This window comes from Homo sapiens, chromosome 17, assembly GCF_000001405.40.
Source record: "Homo sapiens chromosome 17, GRCh38.p14 Primary Assembly".
In the NCBI taxonomy this organism is placed as follows: domain Eukaryota; kingdom Metazoa; phylum Chordata; class Mammalia; order Primates; family Hominidae; genus Homo; species Homo sapiens.
In genome coordinates this window covers 10,041,243-10,064,891 of record NC_000017.11, presented here as the reverse complement: position 1 = coordinate 10,064,891, position 23,649 = coordinate 10,041,243, and the positions used below count along the sequence as shown (strand labels likewise).

The following is a 23,649-nucleotide window of genomic DNA, read 5'->3' as shown; positions in this document are numbered from 1 at the left end:
TGTACCACTGTACTTCAGCCTGGGGACAGAGCGAGATCCAGTGAAAAGAAATCCCACTCAAATTGGATTCAGACAAAAAAGGAACAGTCCCAGGAAGTTCAGCTTCAGGCATGGTTTGATCAAGTGGCTTAAACAAACAGTGTCAGCAGTCTGATGTTTCTCTATCTCTGATTCCCTGTCTTCCTCATCAGCCCTCTTCCTTCTGCATTGGCTCCATTCTCAGTGAGACTTCTGCGAGTTGTCAGCGTGACCATCAGCAGCTTCAGGCTTGCATCTTGTCATAGTAATACATCTTTCCCCAGTAATTCCAAAACCAAATTCCAGGTATCCAGCCCCAGATGGGTAATATGCCCCTTCGTGAACTAGTACCGTGGTTGGGGAGAGGGCACGTGCTAATTGGCCAGGCAGGAGCCACTTGCTCCCGGAAACCTCGAGGGCTGAGAATGAGGTGAGGTGGTTCCACAGTAGAAAAATCAGGGTGCTTCTTTCAGAAGCCGGGGTACGTATGGCCTGCTGGGCAGGCCCACACAGCATACAGATGCTACGAGAGCCTGCTGTGCTTTGTAGGTCACAGACCCCCACGGTGTGCTTGGAAATGCCAGATCATGCTGTGAGGCTTTTCCTCTGCCCCAGCCTCTGGCACGAGACTCCCACGTGTGAAAAGCAGACTCACAGTCCCTGCGTGTCGTGGAGCCCGGGAAATGAAAACGTCAATCTGGGAGGCCCCAGAAGGTGTAGGGGATTGAGTGAGAGAGCCAAGAAGCTGCAGCAGCCGCCGCTGCTGGGACTTCGTGTTTACAAATCACATTATCGGAGCATCTTTGAACTTCTGTTGGCACGTGTGTGACTAATGTTCGAGCTGGTGAGGGCCATGTTGGGAAATGGAAAAGGGAAGTGGGGACGAGCGCTCGTGCTAAAATGGTGCTCTCTTTGGCAATGGCCTTTGGAGGAGGTGACTCACTAGGGGCATTGAGGCAACAAAGAAACTGCTGTGGCTGGATGAAAAAAAGATGCTTCCTCTGCCCCCCTCACCACCCGTGCAAGGGGAAGCCCATGACCTGAGTGTCTTGAAGGAAGCATTTGACCAGGGAGGGTGACCCAGGGTGGAGCCATACTAGACGGTGGTCAGGAAGCTGCCGTGGTGAACAGGTTAGAGTGGAGGTGATGAGTTAAGAGTTCCAGAGCCAGATGTGCAGGGCTGAGCCCTCAGTGTCGTATCTTGTTAGCAGCCTGACCTTGGATGAGATCCTCACCCTGACACCCTGATCTCGGCACCGCCATTATTAGCTGTTTAAGTGTATGCACTCTGCCCCAGTTTGCCTGGGGCAAACTGCCGAACTGTTTGAACCTTGAATTCATTCTCTGGAATAAGCATAATCATAGAAACTAGATGATTTGTCAGGGTTTTGCCGGAGCTGCTGCTTCTCTGCTTTGGAGCAGAGATGGTAGCTTTGGCAGAAAATGGTGGATCATTGCAACTGAGAAGTTAAATAAGAGGTTTCCTCAGCAGAGAGAGCAGGATGGAAGGGGTCCTCCTGAGGTGTAGGACATGGGGACGTCTTTGTGAGTATCATGCGCACGCACACACACACACAGACACACAAACGCGTGCGCGCGCACACACACGTGCCAGGTGCCACCATGCCGTTGCCTATTATTTTGATGGAGGTAGGCAGGAGCAGGAACTCCTTTTGCAAGAATGACAAAGAAGTGGCATTAGCAAGTTCTGCCTGTCTGTTCCTCTAGGGGAAACCCCATGAAACCACCACAGAGCCACTCTGCTTCCCTTTCTTGGCCCACTCTGGCAAACCCAGCCAGCAGGTAAGTGGGAGCACAGAGCGAGGCAAGGGTTGCCTTTGCTGTGGGGAGGGGTCCATCCTACTGTGTGCCCCCTGATGTCTGCACAGTGTGGATGGAGCTCCCTGGACATCCCTGCCTTCCCCTGGGCTGCCCCAAGTACTGCAGGCCTCACTCACGTGGTGCAGGACTGCTCGGCTACCCACAGGATCCTGGGGGGTGAGAGGGCATTTGCGGTGGGAGCTGAGATCTGCAGGGTCATTAGGAATTAGTGTCAGCTAATGGTGGCTCAGCACTCCTGGGGGAGAGAAGAAAGGAAAGGGAGAGAATAGGGATGTGAGCAGCCCTGATTTGCTGGTTCAGGGATTTCTGAGACCAAAAAGCAACCCACCAGCAAAGCAGAATTAGCTGTGTTATTTAAAGTTATTCACATCAGGATATTTAAATGATCTGTGCCCACTGTGTTCGTGTGGTTTCTATGGGCAAGATGTGTTTTATGTTTTTAAAGTTTGTTTAACTTTTCTCTATATCCATGGAGAATCATTGGAAGATCAAATGATATCTCGATCAGTTGTAGAACTTATTTTATTTTCTATTTTATTTTATTTTTGAGACAGAGTCTCACTCTGTCGCCTGGGCTGGAGTGCAGCGACGCAATCTCGGCTCACTGCAACCTCCACCTCCCGGGTTCAAGTGATTCTCATGTCTCAGCCTCCTGAGTTGTCGAGATTACACGTGTGCACCACCATGCCTAGCTAATTTGTGTATTTTTAGTAGAGACGAGGTTTCGCCACGTTGGCCAGGCTGGTCTTGAACTCCTGACCTCAAGTAATCCACCCGCCTTGGCCTCCCAAAGTGCTGGGATTACAAGCATGAACCATTGTGCCCAGCCTAGAATTTACTTTAAAGTAATTACCAGAATGGTAAATTTCCTCCTTCATGTAGGTCAGAACTTGTCTGTGATCTCTAAAAGTCCTGAGCTTGATCCCTCCGTGGACATGCACCTGGGTCGGGGGCACCGGGAACCAACTGAAGCCTGGTCAGTGTGTCTGTACCAGGGTTTTCGGCCATGTTACTGTTGACATTTCGGGTTGGATGGTTGTTTTGTTGTGGGCGGCGGTCCTGTGCATTGTTGAGTGTTTAGCAGCGTCCTTGGCCAGTAAATGTCACCAAGTATTGCCCCATTGGCCCCTGGGGAAAAAGCGCCCCTAGTTCAGAAACACAGGCTACACATGGAGTGCCATATTGTTCCCCTAGAAACCAGGAGAGGAAAGAGTTCCTCTGTTCTGGCCTGAGAGGGAGGCTGGGAGTGGGAACGCCCAGCACAGTTCGCTGTGGGAGAAATGAACCAGGGGCCTGAAAGGGGGTGGGTGCCACAGCTGCCCCTTCCTACAGCTTCCCCCCAGAGGCTCCAGAGCTGTCACACTGTCATTAACGACACCGCATTCCTGTCGGTGCTTGTGTGCATCTTTGGACGAAGCTAGAAAAGAAGCTGAACTATCTTCAACTGTGCCATAAAAGAGGATATAAAAAAACTCAATAAAACACGAAAATGTCAGCCGAAGCAGGATTGCTTGCTGGGGCCTTGGCAAGGAGGGGCAGACAGCAGGCTGGACGCCCCTGGCGCTGTTTGTGGGAGTCATGGGTGGGGAGGAGAGGCCAGGAGAGCCCAGCCCATGCTGGGGGCCACCAAGCCTGGGCTCTGGGCCAAACACACAGTCCCCTGGTTTCTTGAGCCCAACCCCAATGCTGTAATTCTGTTTATTTTGCTGAATATGAAATCCATATGGTTCTGATTTCTTCCTTGTAATCCGTCATCTCTGTGTGGCTTCGGAGCCAGCAACCACGCAAAGTGGCTTTGAAGTTGTTGTTCTGGGTAAGTAGGAAGTTGTGTTCTTCCAGGGTTCAGTGGGGCAACCATGAGGTTTGCATTTGGTTTGGGAACTGCTCCAGGAGAGGGAAGCAGATTGGCACAGTCAGTTTTGGTCCTGGCTTAGGAGCTTGGGCTGGGTCAGAAGGGAGACCATTTACAGAGCCTTCGGTGGATTTGCACAGCCAAGGCCACTCTCTAGCCCTCAGCTTAGGTCAGAGATACTCTTGGTTCTAGGTGTCTCTTTGGAAACAACAGAGGTCTCTGCAGGGAGCTAATGCACTCACTCAGCCTCTCCCACCTCCGTCATGACAACCCATAAATGTGTCCAAGGCTTGCCAAATGTCCTCAGGGGGGACAAAGTCGCCCCTGGTTCAGAAACACAGGCTACATGTGGGATCGCTGGGCCACATGGTAAATGTATGTTTAATGTTACAGGAAACTGCCACACTGCTCTGCAGAAGGACCATACCATTTTGTGTTCGCACGAGCAACGTGTGAGAATTCCAGTTGCTCTGCATCCTTGTCGGCACTTGGTATTGTCATTCTTTTTAATTTCAGTCTTTCTAGATAACACTTGATTTTGACATTTAGAAATGAGCCCCAGAAAGGTCCAAGATTTGTTCAAGGCCCCTAGCTCCTTGAAGACCAGAATCTAGGCATTCTGTCTTGGGGACTGCGGGCTTTCTGGGTGGTGGCCAGGTGTACAGAATGAAAGTGACAGGGTTATTCCATGTGCCAGACCTGGGAATCAGTAACTTCTGTCTGGCCCTGGGGCTTCAGCAATATCCAAGAGGAATGTAGAAAAAGGAGGTGGTGGTAGCAGGGAAAAGTTGCACATCCCGGAGTCATGAGGTTGAAGACCCTGCGCTGCTGCTCCCTCCTCCCACTCCCAGCTCATTTTAAGCTGGAAGCTCAGAGAGGTACAGAAGCCTGCCCAGTGTCACTCGGCTAGCTGGTGGCCTCTCGACTCTTCGTTATGGCAGGCAGTGGCAGAAGGCCAGCCTTGTTTCCAGAAGCACCCTTACTAAAGCACCAGGGCTGCTTCTCCTCGGCGCTTTAAGGAGTAGAGTTTTTGCAAATTGCTCTACCTGGTTGGATTATCACACTCCCTCAGTGTCTTGGCCTTGGGTCCACTCTAGACCGGAAGGAGCATGTGCAGGGGATGATGGCTGCTGCTGAAAGCAGAGTGGGTGACCTAATGGGGAGGTGGAGGTTCATCAGGACCAGGCACTTCTCCAGAGGCATCCCACCCACCCTCAGGGGGAAAGGGCCCAGCTGCCCTGGAAGGCTGTGGACATGCTTTCCCGATTGCAGAATACTTCTCTTTCATTTTGAATATCATTTGTTTGGTTGCCACGGCAACGTCAAGTCTCTATTTTAATGCTAACCTGCGTGGCTGCAACTTTCTATATATAAATGCTGCTTTGCACAGTGAATTAGCCGATGCCACGGGGAAGCAGCGGATGTGGGGATGGTGGCAGAAAATGACCAGCGTGTCAGATTTGCATAAGGACACACCACAAGGCTGAGGTGAGTTGGAACCAGGGCTCTGCTGGTTATCTTTGATGCAGATGCTCGAAGCTAATTGGACCAGGTTGAGTGCGAGGCAGCCGCCACTCCTGCAGGAGGAGAAATCTTCCTTGGATGACCTCTTGCTTGGCTAGGGTTTGGCTCTGCTCTGGGGGGGATTTGGGGGATTCTTCTGTCTTCCCGTGTATCAGTCCTCCTCATGCATCCAGTGAGTCTGGGTCGCACCATGACCCAAGGGTCTGGAAAGAAGAGAAAGCCACTTGGGCAGGGGAAGTATCTGAGATGAGCTCTGTGGGAAGTGAGTTTTTCTTGATTTCCGGGGATTTACCTCAGTTTCCTGTTTTGGATCTTCTCCTCCTCAGTTTGCCTTTTCTTAATTCCCCAGTGTAGCGAGAATTTGTAGAGGCCACGTGGCTCCAAGTAGCATAATAGAGTTCTCAGGAGAAGCCTGAAAAGGCCCTTGGGAACCAGCAGATACAGTTCCCCCAGGTTCTAGATGAGGGAGATGCTCAGAGAGGTGACACGCTCTGCCAGATGTCACACAGCTGCCCTGGGGAAAGTGGGATGGGAAACCAGGTCCACACTGGTCTTCTGACTTACTCATGCATGCCACGTTTGTGCGCATTCTGTCATGGGACCAGGCAGCGTGTGGGTGTACACAACAGTGAAAGGGGATACAGCGTGGACAGCATACCCTGATGTTCCTTTCTGGTTTTGCAAGCCGGAGACGTGTAATGAACACAGGATTGTATAACTTGATCTGGATCGGCCTCTGGAAAGAGCATGGAAGTTTGAATCTACAAAACTTGGATTTGCGTGGATTCAGCCACTTTCTACCTGTGTGACCATTTTGTCAACTTTTCTGAGGCTCTATTTCCCCACCTAACCTCAAGATGTGCTAAATATCTTCCCCTGGCATTGCAATGAGTCAATGTTACGGCCAGTGTGAACCTATTGAGGACTGTGATAGGGGTGTGATGTGTCTGAGAGCAGAGTGGGTTGCAAACTATAAGGCATCTCACCATAGCAGGCCACAGCTCTGTTCTCCTGAGTCTGGGAGAGGATGGCACCGGTATCAGAACACTGGCCCAGCCAGAGGAGTTGTCCGAAGATGGAGTTCTTCAGACGGCTCCTCTGATCAGTATGGTGTGAAATGTAGTACAATTTTATTGCTGTCAGAATATGTCATTCGGGCTTCTCCTATAACATCAAACATTTGACAGATTTTTTTTTTTTTTTTGAGACGGAGTCTCGCTCTGTAGCCCAGGCTGGAGTGCAGTGGCGTGATTTCGGTTTACTGCAAGCTCCGCCTCTGGGTTCACGCCATTCTCTTGCCTCAGCCTCCTGAGTAGCTTGGACTACAGGCACCTGCCACCACACCTGGCTAATTTTTTTTTGTTTGCTTTGTTTTGTTTTGTTTTTGTTTTTGTTTTTGTTTTTAGTATTTATTGATCATTCTTGGGTATTTCTCGCATTGGGAGATTTGGCAGGGTCATAGGACAATAGTGGAGGGAAGGTCAGCAGATAAACAAGTGAACAAGGGTCTCTGGTTTTCCTAGGCAGAGGACCCTGCGGCCTTCCGCAGTGTTTGTGTCCCTGGGTACTTGAGATTAGGGAGTGGTGATGACTCTTAACAAGCATGCTGCCTTCAAGCATCTGTTTAACAAAGCACATCTTGCACTGCCCTTAATCCATTTAACCCTGAGTGGACACAGCACATGTTTCAGAGAGCACGGGGTTGGGGGTAAGGCCATAGATTAACAGCATCCCAAGGCAGAAGAATTTTTCTTAGTACAGAACAAAATGGAGTCTCCTATGTCTACTTCTTTCTACACAGACACAGCAACAATCTGATTTCTCTATCTTTTCCCCACATTTCCCCCTTTTCTATTCGACAAAACCCCCATCGTCATCATGGCCCGTTCTCAGTGAGCTGCTGGGTACACCTTCCAGACGGGGCGGTGGCCAGGCAGAGGGGCTCCTCACTTCCCAGAAGGGGCGGCCAGGCAGAGGCGCCCCCCACCTCCCGGACGGGGCGGCTGGCGGGGCGGGGGCTGCTCCCCACCTCCCTCCCAGACGGGGCGGCTGGCCGGGCGGGGGCTGCCCCCCACCTCCCTCCCTGACGGGGCGGCTGCCGGGTGGAGATGCTCCTCACTTCCCAGATGGGGCGGCTGCCGGGCGGAGGGGCTCCTCACTTCTCAGATGGGGCGGCCGGGTAGAGACGCTCCTCACCTCCCAGACGGGGTCGCGGCCCGGCAGAGGCGCTCCCCACATTCCAGACGGGGCGGCAGGGCAGAGGCGCTCCCCACATCTCAGACGATGGGGGGCCGGGCAGAGAGGCTCCTCACTTCCTAGATGGGATGGCAGCTGGGAAGAGGCGCTCCTCACTTCCCAGACTGGGCAGCCGGGCAGAGGGGCTCCTCACATCCCAGATGATGGGCTGCCAGGCAGAGACGCTCCTCACTTCCTAGACGGGCTGGCGGCCAGGCAGAGGCTGCAATCTGGGCACTTTGGGAGGCCAAGGCAGGCGGCTGGGAGGTGGAGGTTGTAGCAAGCCGAGATCACGCCACTGCACTCCAGCCTGGGCAACATTGAGCACTGAGTGAACGAGACTCCGTCTGCAATCACGGCACCTCGGGAGGCCGAGGCTGGCAGATCACTCGCGGTTAGGAGCTGGAGACCAGCCTGGCCAACACAGCGAAACCCCGTCTCCACCAAAAAAAAAAATATGAAAACCAGTCAGGCGTGGTGGCGCGCGCCTGCAATCCCAGGCACTTGGCAGGCTGAGGCAGGAGAATCAGGCAGGGAGGTTGCAGTGAGTCGAGATGGCGGCAGTACAGTCTAGCTTCGGCTCGGCATCAGAGGGAGACCGTGGAAAGAGAGGGAGAGGGAGACCGTGGAAAGAGAGGGAGAGGGAGATCGTGGGGAGGGAGATCGTGGGGAGGGAGACGGGAGAGGGAGAGGGAGCTAATTTTTGTATTTTTAGTAGAGACGGGGTTTCACCGTGTTAGCCAGGATGGTCTCGATCTCCTGACCTCGTGATCCACCTGCCTTGGCCTCCCAAAGTGCTGGGATTACAGGCGTGAGCCACTGCGCCCGGCCCATTTGACGGATATTTTAAGTGTTGGAGCCGAAGACTGAGACCTTGTTCTTTTTTTTTTAATTTATTTTTATTTTTTATTTGCTTATTTTTTCCAGAGTCAGAGTCTCACTCTGTTCCCCAGCCTGAAGTGCAGTGGCATGCTCATAGTTCATTGCAGCCTTGAATTTCTGGGCTCAAGCGATCCTCCCACCTCGGCCTCCTGAGTAGCTGGGACTACAGGTGTGCACCATCATGCCTGGCTAATTTTAAAAGTTTTTGTAGAGACAGGCTGTCACTTTGTTGCCCAGGCTGGTTTCGAACTCCTGGGCTCAAGCAGTCTTCCCACCTCAGCCTCTCAAGTAGCTGGGACTACAGGCACACACCACCATGCCTGGCTAATGTTTACATTTTTTGTAGAGATGGGGGTCTCACTATGTTGCCCAGACTGGTCTCAAACTCCTTAACTCAAGCGATCTCAAAGTGCTGGGATTATAGATATCAACCACTGCACCCGGACATTGGACACTGTTCTAGAAAAGAGAAAAATTATATGACTATCATCTAAGTGCCCGTGAATGATATACAGTCTGCAGGGGCTGGGAGATTCAGAATTGGGGATAATTCACTTCTACCTGGCGGGTCAAAGAAAGTATCATGAAGGAATCCTTTATAGGGGTTGTTGATTGAGATGGAGTTAAAAAAAGAGATTCTAAAAATGGAGATTGGGACCAGGTAAAGCATTGTTTTCCAAACCATACATCATGAGTCACACAATGCAAGCAATCAGTGTCAACCTGCACAAAAACCAGAGCGGAAAAATATCAGAGCGCGTTATGTGTGGCAAGGGCAAGCATTGTTCCATGAAACTTTTGCTTTGTTTTTGTATATTGAGTTGTGAAGTAAAATGTGTTTTTTATTGTGAACCAGACTTTGAAAATAAAGTTTGAAAACTGCTGGCCTCCAGCGGTGGCTGAATGGGCCTGGACTGTCTCCGGGAGATGGCTGCTGATTTCCTTGTGGGGGAAAACCTGGCCAACCTGGAAAGGGAGGGGACGGGTTTTCAGTGGGGTGGGGATCAGGATGCAACGTCATTTTGGGAAGCTGATGTGCAGTGCGGTACAGACAGGGATGAACAAGCCAACTGGAAAGCAGGAAGTCTGGGAACAGGGAGGTGGCCAGGGCCTGAGGTCCGCCAGGGGACAGCTTCTGTGGGCAGAGTGAGGATGCCTATGGCCACATCACCGTGCATTCTTCCCAGCGGCCCCAGAGCACATGTTCCTACTCTCCCTACCTCTGCAGGTTTGGGTACCTTACATCTCCCACGAGGCATGGATCCAACCTTCCTTCCCACCATGCCCCATGTTCCCAGGTGCTAGCTTCCAGCGCTTGGGCTTGCTACCCATGGGCATCTCTCTGCTCACCATGATGGCTGTGTCATTTCACATTCAGACCTGAGGATGTGCACTATCCTACCCCAGGCCACTGTGCCTGGCTGGCTTCCTCCTCCGTTCCCAAATTCCTGCTCTTCTATCAGCCTGCTTGATGTGTGGTGTCGCCCCTGACTGCTTTCTCCTGGTGGTGTTTGCCTCATTCCTTAACCTGTTTCAGCTTTCTTACGCACCTCCTCCACTTCCAAACCTTCTCAGCTGATGGGCTGCTCCTCTTTCCAGAGACTGAGTAGGACAGGCTTTCCAGGGTCCCTTCTGCCTCAGGAATCTTGTCTTGTGCTTCCTTTCCAAAGAAGGTTAGGCCCAGGCTCAGGGAGCCCAGTTCTCGGGTGGGTGGGAGCAGGCCACACATTTGCAGCCCTTGGAAGGGGTTCACAGATCCCGTGGAAGCTGGCATCCAGCTGCACCCACCAGTGTAAGAGGTCCTGGCTAAAAGGATGTGTGGTATGGAGCAGACGTGCTGATTGGTACTTTAGTCTAAGGTGGGTGGTATTCAATTCGTTAGAACCAGGGAACCCCCTCTTCAAACGACTGCTTATAAAGGCCCCCGACAGTTACAATCAGGGGTTGCACACTGGTAGCCGGTGTGCAAAATCAAATACAGAATCATGGGGGGTTTTTAGTGGTTGTTTTGTTTTTGGTTGCCCATGGTTTCACTTAAAAATGTTTCAGTTGGTTGCCAACATCTTAAAATCTGCAGGTTTTCCATTAAAAATCCAGATTTCCAGCTTCTCTTGCAAAAACGAGATGCTCTAGCAACACCAAGCCTGCCGCCCTGCTTGGCAACAATATGCTGATGATAAGTAGTGGGTTTCCAATTTGCGCAGTCTCCACCCATCTCTGCTGTTACCAGCGCTAAGGCCAATAGTGGAACAGTTGCCATTATTCATTTCATTTGGATTCCTTTTCTTATGGTTAGGGAAAGCAGGAAATATTCCCCGCACCCATGTCTATGAAAAGAAGGAAAGTAAGAGGGCCATGCTTTTCAAAAAAAAAAAAGTTAAAAGAGTCTCTTTCTTTCTGAAAGTGAATTTATGTTTCCTAAAGATTAATCTTCTAGGTCCAGAGGTCGATTTAGAACAGACCGTCTTTGTTTTTCTCTTGAAACTAGTGATTCTCAAAGTGGAGTGCCTACGTGTGCAACAGCTGCATCAGTTGGGGGCTTGTGAGAAATTCAGATAGTTGGATGGTACCCAAACCTACGGATCCAGAAGCTTGGAGGGTGGGCCCGGCAGACTGTGTCCTAACAGCCCTTCTGATGCATGCTGAAGCTTGAGAATCACCGCTCTGATGCTCAGGGGATGGATAGGACGCCAGCACCTCTTATTGTCACTTTCTCCTCTCCTTTTAAGACCCATGGGGGAGAGAGGTGAGGCTCCCTAGCCAAAGAGGAGTTAAGGATCTCACTGCCGTGCCCCTCCAGGCAGAGTCGGTACCTGCGGAGAGGGCTGGAGGAGTTCTTCCAGATTTTGAGATCTCAGCAAATCTCAGTCCCGTTTTTTCTAGACGATTCAGCACTTGCATCTGTGGGCTCCACAGATGCCACATCGATGAAGAGACCTGGTGCCTTCAACTGTTCTGGAGAGATGGTTCCTGGGCTCCCTTCCCATGGGGCTGGTGGTGTGTGACCCTACAAACAAGGGCTTCTCCAGGGTGACCAGGCATTCAGGCGCTGGGGGTCCTTGGGTGAAAATATGCCAGTTCTTTAAAATCATGTAGGTAAAGAGCCAGCCACACATGTACATTTCAGATCTAGCATTGGTAACTCAGACTGCTGTTTTCATAGAAGATCACTTGGCCTCCTTCAGCTTTCTCTCTAATGGCTTTAGTTACTTTAGTGGGCAGTGCACGTGAGCCAAGAAACCACGTCTTTTCCAAATGTATTTACTTGGAGGGCCCCAGGCTCGCGAAGCCGTTGTTGATCTTTTCCCCTTGGTCCATTTTATTCATTTGTGGTTTGGGGACCCCTGAGAGCATTTAAGTAGCCCAGACTCCTCCTAGGGTAAAATAGATAAATGTGTGGGTAGTGCTTTCATCTCTGCCTTCTTGTTTCCCTCTCTTCCTCCACCTTGCTGCCTGGGTGACCACAGGAAAGTAAGAAACCCACTTTCTAGGTGAGCTGAAAACCCTACTCAGAGACCAGGAAGAACTCCATGTAGCCAATGTGTGTTTATTGTGTACATTTTCTGTGCCTGGGGATGGATTTGAGTATGACACTATTGTTGTTCTCAAGGAGCTCCCATGAGTAAGGGATGAAGGCCGCTTATCTCAGGCCACCCAAAGGAGAGCCGCTGTGGGGGTGAGGTGTGGCTGTGCACGGGGGAGGAGAAGCTGGGCAGGGGCAGGGGCTAAATTGCCCAGGAGAAAGCCCCAAAGTGAGGAGCCTGGCCCACTAGACAGAGCAAGGTGGTTCCCCTTCTGGGCTGGAGAGTTGAACTCAAGCTCCCAGAATTCAGCCTACACGAGAGGGGCTTTCTGGTGACTGAGCGTGAGTGCGTGAGGGTGAGGACGGAGCCTCTGGCAGCCTGTGCCGCTTACTTGCTTTGCATGGGTGGGCAGGGGGTGCCTTCTGGGACTCCCAGCTCTGCCAGCTGAAAAACAAAACTGCTCACAGCTACGCAGTGTGTGGCACTCAGTTGGCATCCTTCTAGGGTGTCATTTCACTCGAGGGTGCTGGTCACGGCTCTTTGCTGTGGAGATGCTTCTCTTGGTAGTTTCCTACCCACCCTCTTAGACCTGTTTCTCCCCGCTGGGACCCCTCCCACTAGTTAATGAGGCTTCCCACTGGCAATCTCCTGTTACCTTCTACCTGATTATCAATTTGACAGTTGATGATCAAGGCCTTGGCAGGTCATGGCTTCGACTGTAACTTCAACCCTGGAGTATTTGCCTTTGGATATTGGATTCCTAGACGCCGCAGAGGAGTCTCAGGTATGATGGGAAAGTGTTTTGGGAACTGCCTTTTGCAGTTCTCGGTCAGGGACCAGGTTTGTTTCTGGGGCTCGTTTTCATTCAGCCCATCAGCTTTCTATGATTGTAAATGGAGGAATCGGGGGACAGTGTGGGGTGAGATGGAACTAGCACCAGTCTTGGAGACAGACTACTGGGTTCAAGCTAGCCCGATTATAAAATGAAAATAAATACTTCCCTCCCAGGGTTTTTATAAGGGTCAAATAAACTACTGTATATCAAGTTACTGGTCCACAGTAGTCCTTTAGCTACTAAAAACAACAAAAAGATAAGATCTAATGGTGAGATAAAGGCAGTGAATGTGATTTGGGGGATATCCAATGCTGGGGAAAAAGGGAAACTTAACCCGTTTTTCCTGCCTGTTATCCAGCCTGTCTCATTTTTGGGAGCTTGAGCGATCGATCTGGGGTACGAAATTTTCTTGGAGTGCCCTTGCCCATGTTCAAATGAAGGCACATGAGGCCATTTTCAGAAGTTTGCCAGGGTCTTGCACTGGTTTGTTTGCAGTTCTTGGTCAAGGACCATGTTTGTTTCTGGGTCTTGTTTTCATTTACCCCAGCAGCTTTGTATGGTTGTAGCCCTCGTGGACTTGCGTGTGTTCTCCGCCCTGTGAGTTTTACTGGCAGGGTCTCCTTCAGCTTTCTCTTTGTCTAATGGCTTTAGTTACTTTAGGGGACAGTCCATGCGAGCCAAGAAACCACGTCTTTTCCAAATGTATTTACTTGGAGGGCTCTAGGCCCGCAAAGCCATTGATGAGAACCTATTCTGATGTTTCTTTGAATTCTAGTCTCGTCATTCACGTGCTCTTTCCTTCAGTCAGCTCAGTTTATGTCAGAATGGTTAGAAGGTATCATTCTGGAGAGTTTAGCCGTGCTGTTGGGAAAGTCCGGGCAACATGAGTGACTCAGCGTTGGTGACCTCAGTTGATGGCTTTTCTCAAGGGGATGGAAAAGTATGGGATGAAGCTAATATGTACCTACCATTGTTTCTACTGTCTTATTTAATCCCTGCAAAAATTCTATGAAGTAGGTGGTGGCATCTGCATTTTCCTATGTGGGAAAGAAAAAAGATGAGGTTTGTAGAGGTGAAGTGCCTTGGCCAGGGTTATATGGCTGAGAAGCTGTGGAACCTGCATTTGAGCTTCCTCTCTGCTTGGCTGAAGGGCAGAAGCTGGGTTTAGGGGTAAGCACATGGATGTCTGTGGTCAACTGAGTGGTTTGCAGGGCATCTATCTTCTGTTCTTAGCCCCACCCACACCCCAGTGCAACAAGACATACCTTCTTTTGAGAATCTCTGTAGCAGAATGGAAGTTTTGGTTTCTAGAAGCTGCTGGAGTCTTCCAGGCCCCCTTGTTTGAATGGAGCTTTGCATCTCAATGATGTAGGGGAAAAAAAATTAGGCAGAAGAGGATTTGCCAAAAGGGAAAGTCAAGAGGGCTTATGACTTCACCCCTCGTGTATACACAGATGTTTCCTCCCTGGGCCCTTCCTTTCGTGGGGTTTGCCTGGCTGCTAACAGACGGGAAGTAGCTTGTGCTTCAGGAGAAGAGAGCTGGGCCTGATGGAGAGGGTCACCTTTTCCAGCAGTGTGGAGGTCATCTTGGGGAGTGGTCCTGAATGGGGCCTTGGTTCTGCTGTGCCATCTGACCATGTGCTAGCCCTCTAGTCATGGGGGTGACATCTGCACCCAGGTTTAGGGTGGGCAGAGGGCAAGGAGAGGGCTCTGTGTGGGTACTGGGGAGACTCGGTGTCCAAGCTCTGTCTCCAGGCCTCAGTTTGTCCATCTGTAAAATGATGAGATGTGATCAGATGATTACTAAGGTGCCTTCTGTCTCTAATTTTTGTGTTAGCGTTGCATTGGTTGAGAAAGTCATTTTGTCTCTGTTTTCTTAAAGATAAAGCCCCCCCACCCCACCAACTGTCTTGCCATTTGAAAGATAATACAATAAACCCTACCTGATAAATAGTACTCATTTTAGGGGATGTCAAATGTGATGGGATATGTCAAGGAGGGTTTTATTGGACTTGTTTAAATAATTTTAGTAAGGTGATATTCATGTACTAGCTGATAATAGAAAATAAGCTTAGAATTTTTAAAAGGCATTAAAATTAATATGCTCATTATAGAAAACATGGAAAATATAGAAAAACAGAAATAAGAAAATAATTAGGGGCATTCTTTTTTATGTTGTGTATATTTTTCTCCACAATTGGGATCATATAGTATATTTAGGATTGTATATGATGATTTGCTGATTGTAAAACTAATTTCAGACCGGGCGCGGTGGCTCACGCCTGTAATCCCAACACTTTGGGACGCCAAGGTGGGTGGATCACAAGGTTGGGAGTTCCAGACCAGCCTGGCCAACATGGTGAAACCCTGTCTCTACTAAGAATACAAAAAATTAGCTGGGCGTGGTGGCAGGCACCTGTAGTCCCAGCTACTCGGGAGGCTGAGGCTGGAGAATGGCGTGAACCCAGGAGGCGGAGCTTGCAGTGAGCCAAGATCGCGCCACTGCACTCCAGCCTGGGCGACAGAGTGAGACTCTGTCTCAAAAAAAAAAAAAAAAAAAAAAAAAAAAAGAAGTAATTTCAAAACACGTTTTAAAAATCAAAAAATTATTTTAAAATATTTTTAAATAAAGTAAAATTTTAAAATTGGTGAAAGAAATAGAATTGAAACAACCGGAGAATCCCCCAATACAAAGATAAGCTTTGTTAATGTGTCTGTGTCTTTCTTTAGTACTTCATTTGGGTGAGGGAGTGCTATTTTCCATATTGAGATCATACTGCATACTTTGATTTCTAAAGCAGGGACAGCTTTTAGAGGGAGGATGATATAAAGAGGGCTTTGATGACAGAAAGCATTGCCATGGGGTGGTTTATTGGTCTTACCCAAATTAAGGAAGAAAACAAGACTTGGTCCATTCAATATGAGTTTTTAACATGCAGAAAATAAAGACTGAAGTTCCACGGCGAAGAAAATGGCCACTGTGGTGCCTTACATAGCACAGTGTTGCTTTGGTGGACACGAAAAACAAAGACTTCTTGTTTCTGGATCCTCCCAGCAGAGTGTCCCTAAAGCTTGAATAGTCCTCATTGTTGGTATGCGCCTGGACAGAAAGGGAACATCAGTTATGCGTGCTCCTCACACATGGCCCATTGCTTCATCTGCACTGGCCTTGTAGGAGAAACTCGTATCCTGGTTCTGGGATGGACAGGAGCAGAAAAGGAGGTGAATGAAATACTAAGGCACTAATCTTCCCCCCCGCAATGAGCTGGAAAATCCACCAGGCAGCACACAGTTCTCTGGATTTTTGCATTGGGAGTTTGTACTGAGCAAGAAATGACTTACATATGCATTGTATTTGTATTATTACTTCCCCATGGCTGTGTTGTCTTCCTAATTTTCTCTCTCAGTGCCTGGAGGGTAAGGAGATGGTGTCTTCACTTGCATGCCTCTAACAGAACCTTCCTATTTCTTTCACTTGAAATACTCATACAACTTGATGGATTTGTATGTCTTGAATTACAAAGTTTTGGGTAAAAATTCACATTTGCAGTTTAGCTTCAGCAAATATTTATTGAATACCCACAGCAATGGACATAACAATGACTGTACCCCGTGAAGCTTTAAACTCAGTGGGGTTTGTCTTCTAGCACTTTCCAAGGGGTGATGCCAGGCCCTGTATGCACCGTGATAGAGCAGTGAGCAAAACAAAATCCCTGCTGTATGGAGCTTTTATTCTAGTAGAAAGAGCTCTCTAGCCATTGGTAGGGAGGGTAGAGGAGAAGTCTGAGGAAAATCTGATTTCCTGGGTAACCCTTTCTCTTTTTGCCTGTTTATATGAATGATTTTTTGTTGTTGTTGTTTTGAGATGGAGTTTAGCTTTGTCGCCCAGGCGCAACTGCAATGGCGCGAGGTTGCAATGGCGCGATCACCGCTCTCTGCAACCTCCGCCTCCTTGGTTCAAGCAGTTCTCCTGCCTCAGCCTCCCAAGTAGCTGGGATTACAGGTGCGCACCACCATGCCTGGCTAATTTTTGTATTTTTAGTAGAGACAGGGTTTCACCATGTTCACCAGGCTAGCCTTGAACTCCTGACCTCAAGTGATCTGCCCGCTTCACCCTCCCAAAGTGCTGGGATTCCAGGCATGAGTCACCGCGCCTGGCCTATATGCGTAATTTTAGATTATTTTTGCAATTCATTATTAATTTTATTAATACTTGATAATTTTAATTGCAATTGGTTATTAAGTTTAACCTATTCTGGTCTTTAATAATGGAATATTTTTAAACATATATGTTACATAGACTCTTGATTTCCTTGCTTTTTGTCCTTTGCAATTTGGGGACACTTTTCCTGTTAGCCCCGCAAGTCACTGATTTAAATGTTTATATTTGCAGTTACCCACAACTACAACTAAATATGGATTTAAATGAGCAATTTTTATATAATCCTCACCTCGTCCACTATCTTCTTTGTCATCCTTTTTATTCGAACTGCTTTTTTTTTCCTGTTATGATTTGCTGTTCCTCTTTCAAAGAAATCACAGCTTCTTACATTCTGACAGTTTCCTGACAGTTTTTCTTCTGAATGATTTTCTGAGACGTGCTCTTCCTTTGTGCTTTCAGGATGGTGTTTCCTCACCCTGCTTTTGCATATTTCCCCTCTTTATGCATTCTTGACACGGCAGGATCTATGTAAACGTGGCATGTACCAACAGAAAGTATCGACTGTCACTAGCCTTGGCACACTGTCGGCTTGGGGGAAGGTTGACTTCCCCTCACAGCTACCTGCCTGTAGGGTTCGATGGTGCACCCATCTCTCAGTCCAGTTTCTGTTTTCGAATTGGCCTTTGCCTGGTGAACTGTCACGTTACTATCTGGTCCTCTGATACTCCGAATTGATGGAGAACATGAAAACTCACAGTTCCTGGGGTCTCTTCTCAATGCCCTGCAGCCAGGGCATTGGCTGGGCTTGGCCTGTAGCATCTGTACCTTTCCGAACAGTGAGCACCCCTCCCACGCCCCTTGTTCTACCCTGCACTTCCTGCTCTCTTGTTTTCTGGGACTTGCTGTACCTAAATGGATGATGGGCAGTCCTCTCAGACAGCATCTGTGCTGAGAGGAGAGGGCTGGCTGCTCAGTGTTCAGGTCAGTGCAAATCCTGCATCTCAAATTAGAGACATGGAGTGGCAGAGGCATGAAGTGCAGCTCAGATTATGGGCAGAGAGTGGTGAAGGTGTGAAGTCTTATTTCCCCTTTTACAACTCATCTTGGTTTGCAAGATTTTCTTTTCTTTTCTTTTCTTTTCCTTTTCTTTTCTTTTTTCTTTTCTTTTCTTTCCTTCCTTCCTTCCTTCCTTCCTTCCTTCCTTCCTTCCTTCCTTCCTTCCTTCCTTCCTTTCTTTCTTTCTTTCTCTTCTTTCTTTCTTTTCTTTTCTTTTTTTTTTTTTGAGACAGAGTCTTGCTCTGTCACCCAGGCTGGAGTGCAGTGGCGTGATCTCGGCTCACTGCAACCTCCGACTCCCAGGTTCAAGCAATTCTCCTGCCTCAGACTCCTGAGTAGCTGGGACTACAGGTGCCCGCCATCAAGCCTGGCTAATTTTTGTATTTTTAGTAGAGACGAGGTTTCACTATATTGGCCAGGCTGGTCTGGAACTCCTGACCTCATGATCTGCCCGCCGAGGCGGGCAGTGTGCTGGGATGACAGGTGTGAGCCACCGCGCCCAGCGGTTTGCAAGATTTTCTGCATTTCCTTCATTGGCCTCATGGTTCTCGAGTTTTTTTTTTTTTCCTCCGATTCTGTTTGTCATTTTTGGATTTTGTTTTTAAGATTGGATGAGTTATTTCCTGTTCTTTTCCTCTTATTGCTGGTTTGATAGGCAGTGTCCTGGGGCAGCTGTCAGATGCTTCTTACAGGGAAGTCCCCTGCATCTCCTTTTGCCATGCCCTTAATCTCCCAGAGATTCAGTCACACGCCGGGTACCGTGTTCCTGTCGTTGTGGGGACGTAGTCAGTAGAGAATTCAAGTTCAGTTTTCTGGATTAAAAAAAAGAATCTCCAGAACCACTTTGTGGATGCTGCATGGTGACTTGATGTGTAGCCAGAGACAGTGTTTCTCAAAGTGTGCTGAGTTTCCAACTAAGGATCCGTGAGATAATTTTAGATCATGTGGAGATGACAGTTTTAAAGTTATATTTATTTTAGTGTGTAGTAGAAAGAAACCAAATCAAATCTGTGATTTCATAGATATTATTGCTTAGGGCCAGACTACATTTCAGTGGGATATAAGTCAGTTCGAAAAAAATATTGAGTAAATAATAGTGCGGCTGGTACACAGTGATGGATGGAACAAGGTGTCACAGTGGGATATGAATGACTGCAGGAAGGGGAAACCAAGCTGTGGGATCTCTTAGAATCAGGGCTGTTTGGAGGCCTTTTCAACTGGGTGCCGTTTCTGATATGTCCACTTGATACTTGGGAATTTTTTTTGAGATAGCGTCTCACTCTGTCGCCTAGGCTGGAGTGCAATGGCGCGATCTCAGCTCACTGCAATCTCTGTCTCCTGGGTTCAAGCAATTCTCCTGTCTCAGCCTGCTGAGTAGCTGGGATTACAGGCGACCACCACCACACTCAGCTAATTTTTATATTTTTAGTAGAGACGGGGTTTCACCATGTTGGCCAGGCTGGCCTTGAACTCCTGACTTCAGGTGATCCACCTGCCTCGGCCTCCCAAAATGCTGGGATTACAGGCGTGAGCCACCACACCCGGCCAATACTAGGAATCTTTTATGGGGTGGGACACATAGAAATTTTATAAGGGTCCTAGGACTCTACCATGATATGTACAAGAAACTGGCTGCAGTCACCTCACGGGAGCCCTCTGCCCAGCACAGCCCTTGGTCTGGAGCCAGCCACAGTCTATGGCCTGTCCTCTTTCTTGTTCTCTTCTTTAATGGCATCTTATCTAAAGATCTTGCTTCCCTTTGCATCCTATGCTCATAGGTCCTTGTGTGCCTGTGATCCAAGTCTACACCCATCACTCTTCCATATTTCTCTTTCCAAGATAAATGAGACACACCCTTTCTGTATTCAGCGAGCATTTTCTTTGGCATCTCACTTGGACACTTTTTTTTTTTTTTTTTTTTGAGATGGAGTCTCGCTCTGTCGCCCGGGCTGGAGTGCAGTGGCACGATCTCTGCTCACTGCCAAGATGAAGTGATTCTCCTGCCTCAGCCTCCCTAGTAGCTGGGATTACAGGTGCCCACCACCATGCCCAGCTAATTTTTTGTATTTTCAGTAGAGATGGAGTTTCACCATGTTAGCCAGGATGGTCTCCATCTCCTGACCTCATGATCCGCCCGCCTCGGCCTCCCAAAGTGCTGGGATTACAGGCGTGAGCCACCGCGCCTGGCCGGACACTCTTAACTACAGTTGACCCTCAGACAATGGATTTGAACTGCACAGATCTACTTATATGTGGATTCTTTTCAATTAATATATTGGAAAATATTTTTGGAGATTTGTGATAATTTGAAAAAAATTGAAGACAGACTACCTAGTCTAGAAATACCAAAAAAATTTAGAAAATGTTAGACATGCCGTGAATACATAAAATATATTCGATACTAGTTTATCATTTACTACCACAAAATACATACAAATCTACAGAAAGTTAAAATTTTTAAAATTTTACCCACACAAACACTCAGACTGTGTATGGCACCATTCATATTTAAGCAAAATGTAAACAAAGGCAAAGATGTAGTATTAATCATAACTGCATAAAACTAGCCATAGTATATACTGTAGTAACTTCATGGCCACCCCTAGTTGTTATTGCAGTGAGCTCAGGTGTTGAGAGCATCGGCTTGTCATGTGATGCTGATCAGCCCTGGATGAACAGTTCATCACTCCAGTAAATTGGGTATCGCAGTAAAATGTAAGCCCTCACTGTTCTATGTATTTTTCATCATGTTTAGTGCAATGCCATAAGCCTCGAATAACACCATGGGACCCATAGAGTGTGCCACTAGTGATGCTGAAAGCATTCCCCAGAAGCAGAGAAAAGTCCTGACATTACAAGAAAAAGTTCAATTGCTTGTCAGGTACCGTAGACTGACGTCTGCAGCTGCTGCTGCCACCATTTCAAAGGTTTCATCTTTTAAACAGATGATGTAAACTTATGGCATCAGTAAATACAGTACAGTACTGTAGGTGTATTTTCTCTTTCTTATGATTTTATTTATTTATTTAGAGACAGGGTCTCACTCTGTTGCCCAGGCTGGAGTGCAGTGGAGCAATCTTGGCTCACTACAGCCTCAACTTCCAGGGTTCAAGAATACTCTTGCCTCAGTCTGCCTAGTAGCTGGGTCTACAGGCATGCACCATGCCAGGTTAATTTATTTTTATTTTTTATCTTCACTTATTTTTGTAGAGATGGGCTCTCACTCACCAGACTGCCCAGGCTGGTCTCGAACTCCTGGGCTCAAGCCATCCTCCCACTTCAGCCTCCCAAGGTGTTGGGATTATAGGTGTGAGCTACTGTGCCCGGCCCCTTATGATTTTCTTAACATTTTATTTTTCTCTAGCTTACTTTAGGAATAAAGTCTGTAATATGGATAACATACAGAATACATGTTTATCAACTGTTTAGGTTATCGCTAAGGCTTCTAGTCAGCAGTAGGTTGTTAGTAGTTAACTTTTGAGGGAGTCAAAAGTTAGGTACAGATTTTCAACCACATGGGGAGATGGGGGTTAGCACCTCTAAACCCTCGTGTTGTTCAAGGGTCAGCTGTACTTATTTCTTCTTGTATCCCCCCTCTTCATTTGGTTTCTCTGCCTGATTCTCAGAACTCACATCGTTCATTCCCCATGTAGCCCCTGAGTGTTGAGCACTAGTCTGGTTAGAGGTGAAAAAGATGAAGACCTGGTTCTTGCCTTTGAAAGTCTTGGAGAGGGGCCCTGGGGGTGTTGCATGCACTAATGAAAGGCACAGGAGAGGGAGGGATTGGGCCTGAGGCATGCTGGGGGAGAATAATTCTTCTCCCACTGCTTAAGCAAGAGCATGCCCCAAGGTTCAGCTCAAGGTCCTTTCTTTCTCTGTGAACTCCTTGTCAGCCTGTAGGATCTCACCACCATCTCTGAGCAGATGCCTCCAGCTCCAGCTCCATGTGCCAAGGGCCAGACTCACCCCTACTCCCCACCGAACACTTTGAACTTGGATCCATGGTCAACAGACTCTACTGCATCCCCCTAAACTGGCTGTCACCATAGCCACATCTCTTCGAGTTACTGGTTCGAACTTCTGTCATTTCCTTCCGAATCAACTTCGCTGTCTCTCATTTCCTTATGTCCCGTCCTTTATCAAACCTTATTCTGCTTCGTACATCATGTTCCTCGGGCTCCAGTCAAGCCCTTGTTTTTTATCCCTGCTGTGAGGCAAGTTCTTTATCTTTTGGGAAGCCTCCCTGTACCATCCCAGCCAAGAGTGACCTCGCCCTCCTCTGGATTCTGAAAGCTCTTATTGTCTGCCAGCTTATCACATAGCATTTGGCACTGTTGAAGACTCCTTTGATACTTATTCCTTTTTTTTGCCCATGTTTGCGACTTAGCTTCCGAATTTTAGGAGTCAGGTCCTACATACAATACCTGCCTGCATCCCACACAGGATTCAGGAAAGGGTAGTTAGTAACTATTAGTTGGTTGATTGATCATGCAGACAGGGGGCCACGTATGGAGGAAGGGGGCGTCCCTGAGACCCTGTACCCTAGAGACTGCTTGGGCTGATGAATAATTTTTCCGTTCATGACTGTGAAGCAGTTACAAAAGTGAGTCATCACCCTACCCAGATGTGTTTTCTTATTAATTATCTTTTTTTTTTTTTTTTTTTTTTTGACGGAGTCTCGCTCTGTCACCCAGGCCGGAGTGCGGTGGCACTATCTCAGCTCACTGCAACCTCTGCCTCCCAGGTTCAAGTGATTCTACTGCCTCAGCTTCCCAAGTAGCTGGGACTACAGGCACGTGCCACCACGCCCAGCTAATTTTCGTATTTTTAATAGAGACAGGATTTCACAATATTGGCCAGGCTGGTTTTGAACTCGTGACCTCATGATCTGCCCGTCTTGGCTTCCCAACGTGCTAGGATTACAGGCATGAGCCACCGTGCTCGGCCTATTAATTATCATTTTAAGACAACCCAATTCATCCTACAGAGGACAAGGGCCTACAGCAAATAAGGCCTATTTTGGTTGACAGTTTTCAACTTGACTGAAACGAAAAAAATAATAAGAGGGTTGGTCTTATCTGATGCCGTTGAACTCAGGAAAACTCAGGTTGGTGGAAATATCATCAGTCTTTTTGCTTTGGGATCACGGATTCTCTGCTGTCTGCCGTTCGTGTGTGTGGCTTCATATGTAGCAACCTATCTATTTGCAGAGGCCACAAGGAGAGACCAGTAGCGTGTTTTTCACGGCCAACGCTAATCACTAAGGATGGTTAATAAAGGAAAACCAAAGTGACTTCTGGATTGAGATGCTAGGATGAACCCAAACAGTAAACCCTTAGAATGTATTCGTGAGTCTTCCATACTCTGAGAGATTAACTTTGGGGAATCCTAAAGAATTAAATGTCTGCAGGACTAGTGTGTTCTGCTGAGGTCAGGCCACAGCAGATCAGCCTCCTGGTTTGTAATGGCCCGGAAAGGTCCCTTGCCCTTGGCTGGGGGCCCTACTGGGATTTGCAATGACAGTGATTTCTGTGTGTTGCCTGGAGTGATGCATTGTTGTCTGTGATTGTATCTGTTCGTCTGTGTGATGCAATGTCAAAGTGGTGTCGGAGACGGCTGTTAATGTTTAACAGCATCAAAACTGTCCCCTCTTTGCTGTTACAAAACTGAGGAGTCACAGGCTATGAAAGCTTTCATGGCCATTTTAATTTCACAAACC

At 48.2% G+C, this 23,649-nt stretch overlaps 1 protein-coding gene across 6 annotated transcripts in view, besides 4 other annotated features; it reads left to right on the top strand.

Annotated features, from left to right (window-relative positions):
• Positions 1–23,649, top strand: part of GAS7 (growth arrest specific 7) — a 288,001-nt gene that overhangs the window by 133,715 nt on the left and 130,637 nt on the right. Inside the window, exon 1 of one of the 6 annotated variants that reach the window (XM_005256832.5) lies at positions 5,097–5,200. The exons of 4 other annotated variants lie outside the window; for them this stretch is intronic. Coding sequence is in view for 1 of the 2 variants with exons in the window: in XM_047436953.1 (XP_047292909.1) it covers positions 12,584–12,661 (78 nt within the window). In the remaining variant the exon portion in view is untranslated. Of the gene's footprint in view, positions 1–5,096; positions 5,201–12,357; positions 12,662–23,649 lie in introns of those variants that run through there. One more of the 6 variants, XM_047436953.1, reaches the window with a different exon arrangement.
• Positions 3,409–3,910: an enhancer, noted in NCBI's record as "H3K4me1 hESC enhancer chr17:9964299-9964800 (GRCh37/hg19 assembly coordinates)". NCBI's record gives its function as "activates a minimal SCP1, AML or CMV promoter by ChIP-STARR-seq in primed H9 embryonic stem cells {active_cell/tissue: H9 hESC(primed)}" and the evidence as "EXISTENCE:reporter gene assay evidence [ECO:0000049][PMID:30033119]".
• Positions 5,001–5,100: an enhancer, noted in NCBI's record as "active region_11729". NCBI's record gives its function as "activates an Ori minimal core promoter by ATAC-STARR-seq in GM12878 lymphoblastoid cells {active_cell/tissue: GM12878}" and the evidence as "EXISTENCE:reporter gene assay evidence [ECO:0000049][PMID:35858748]".
• Positions 16,916–17,085: an enhancer, noted in NCBI's record as "experimental_47688 CRE fragment used in MPRA reporter constructs". NCBI's record gives its function as "activates a minimal promoter by MPRAs in K562 erythroleukemia cells, with activity observed for the introgressed 17:9951209 variant allele {active_cell/tissue: K562}" and the evidence as "EXISTENCE:reporter gene assay evidence [ECO:0000049][PMID:34662402]".
• Positions 17,584–17,763: an enhancer, noted in NCBI's record as "active region_11728". NCBI's record gives its function as "activates an Ori minimal core promoter by ATAC-STARR-seq in GM12878 lymphoblastoid cells {active_cell/tissue: GM12878}" and the evidence as "EXISTENCE:reporter gene assay evidence [ECO:0000049][PMID:35858748]".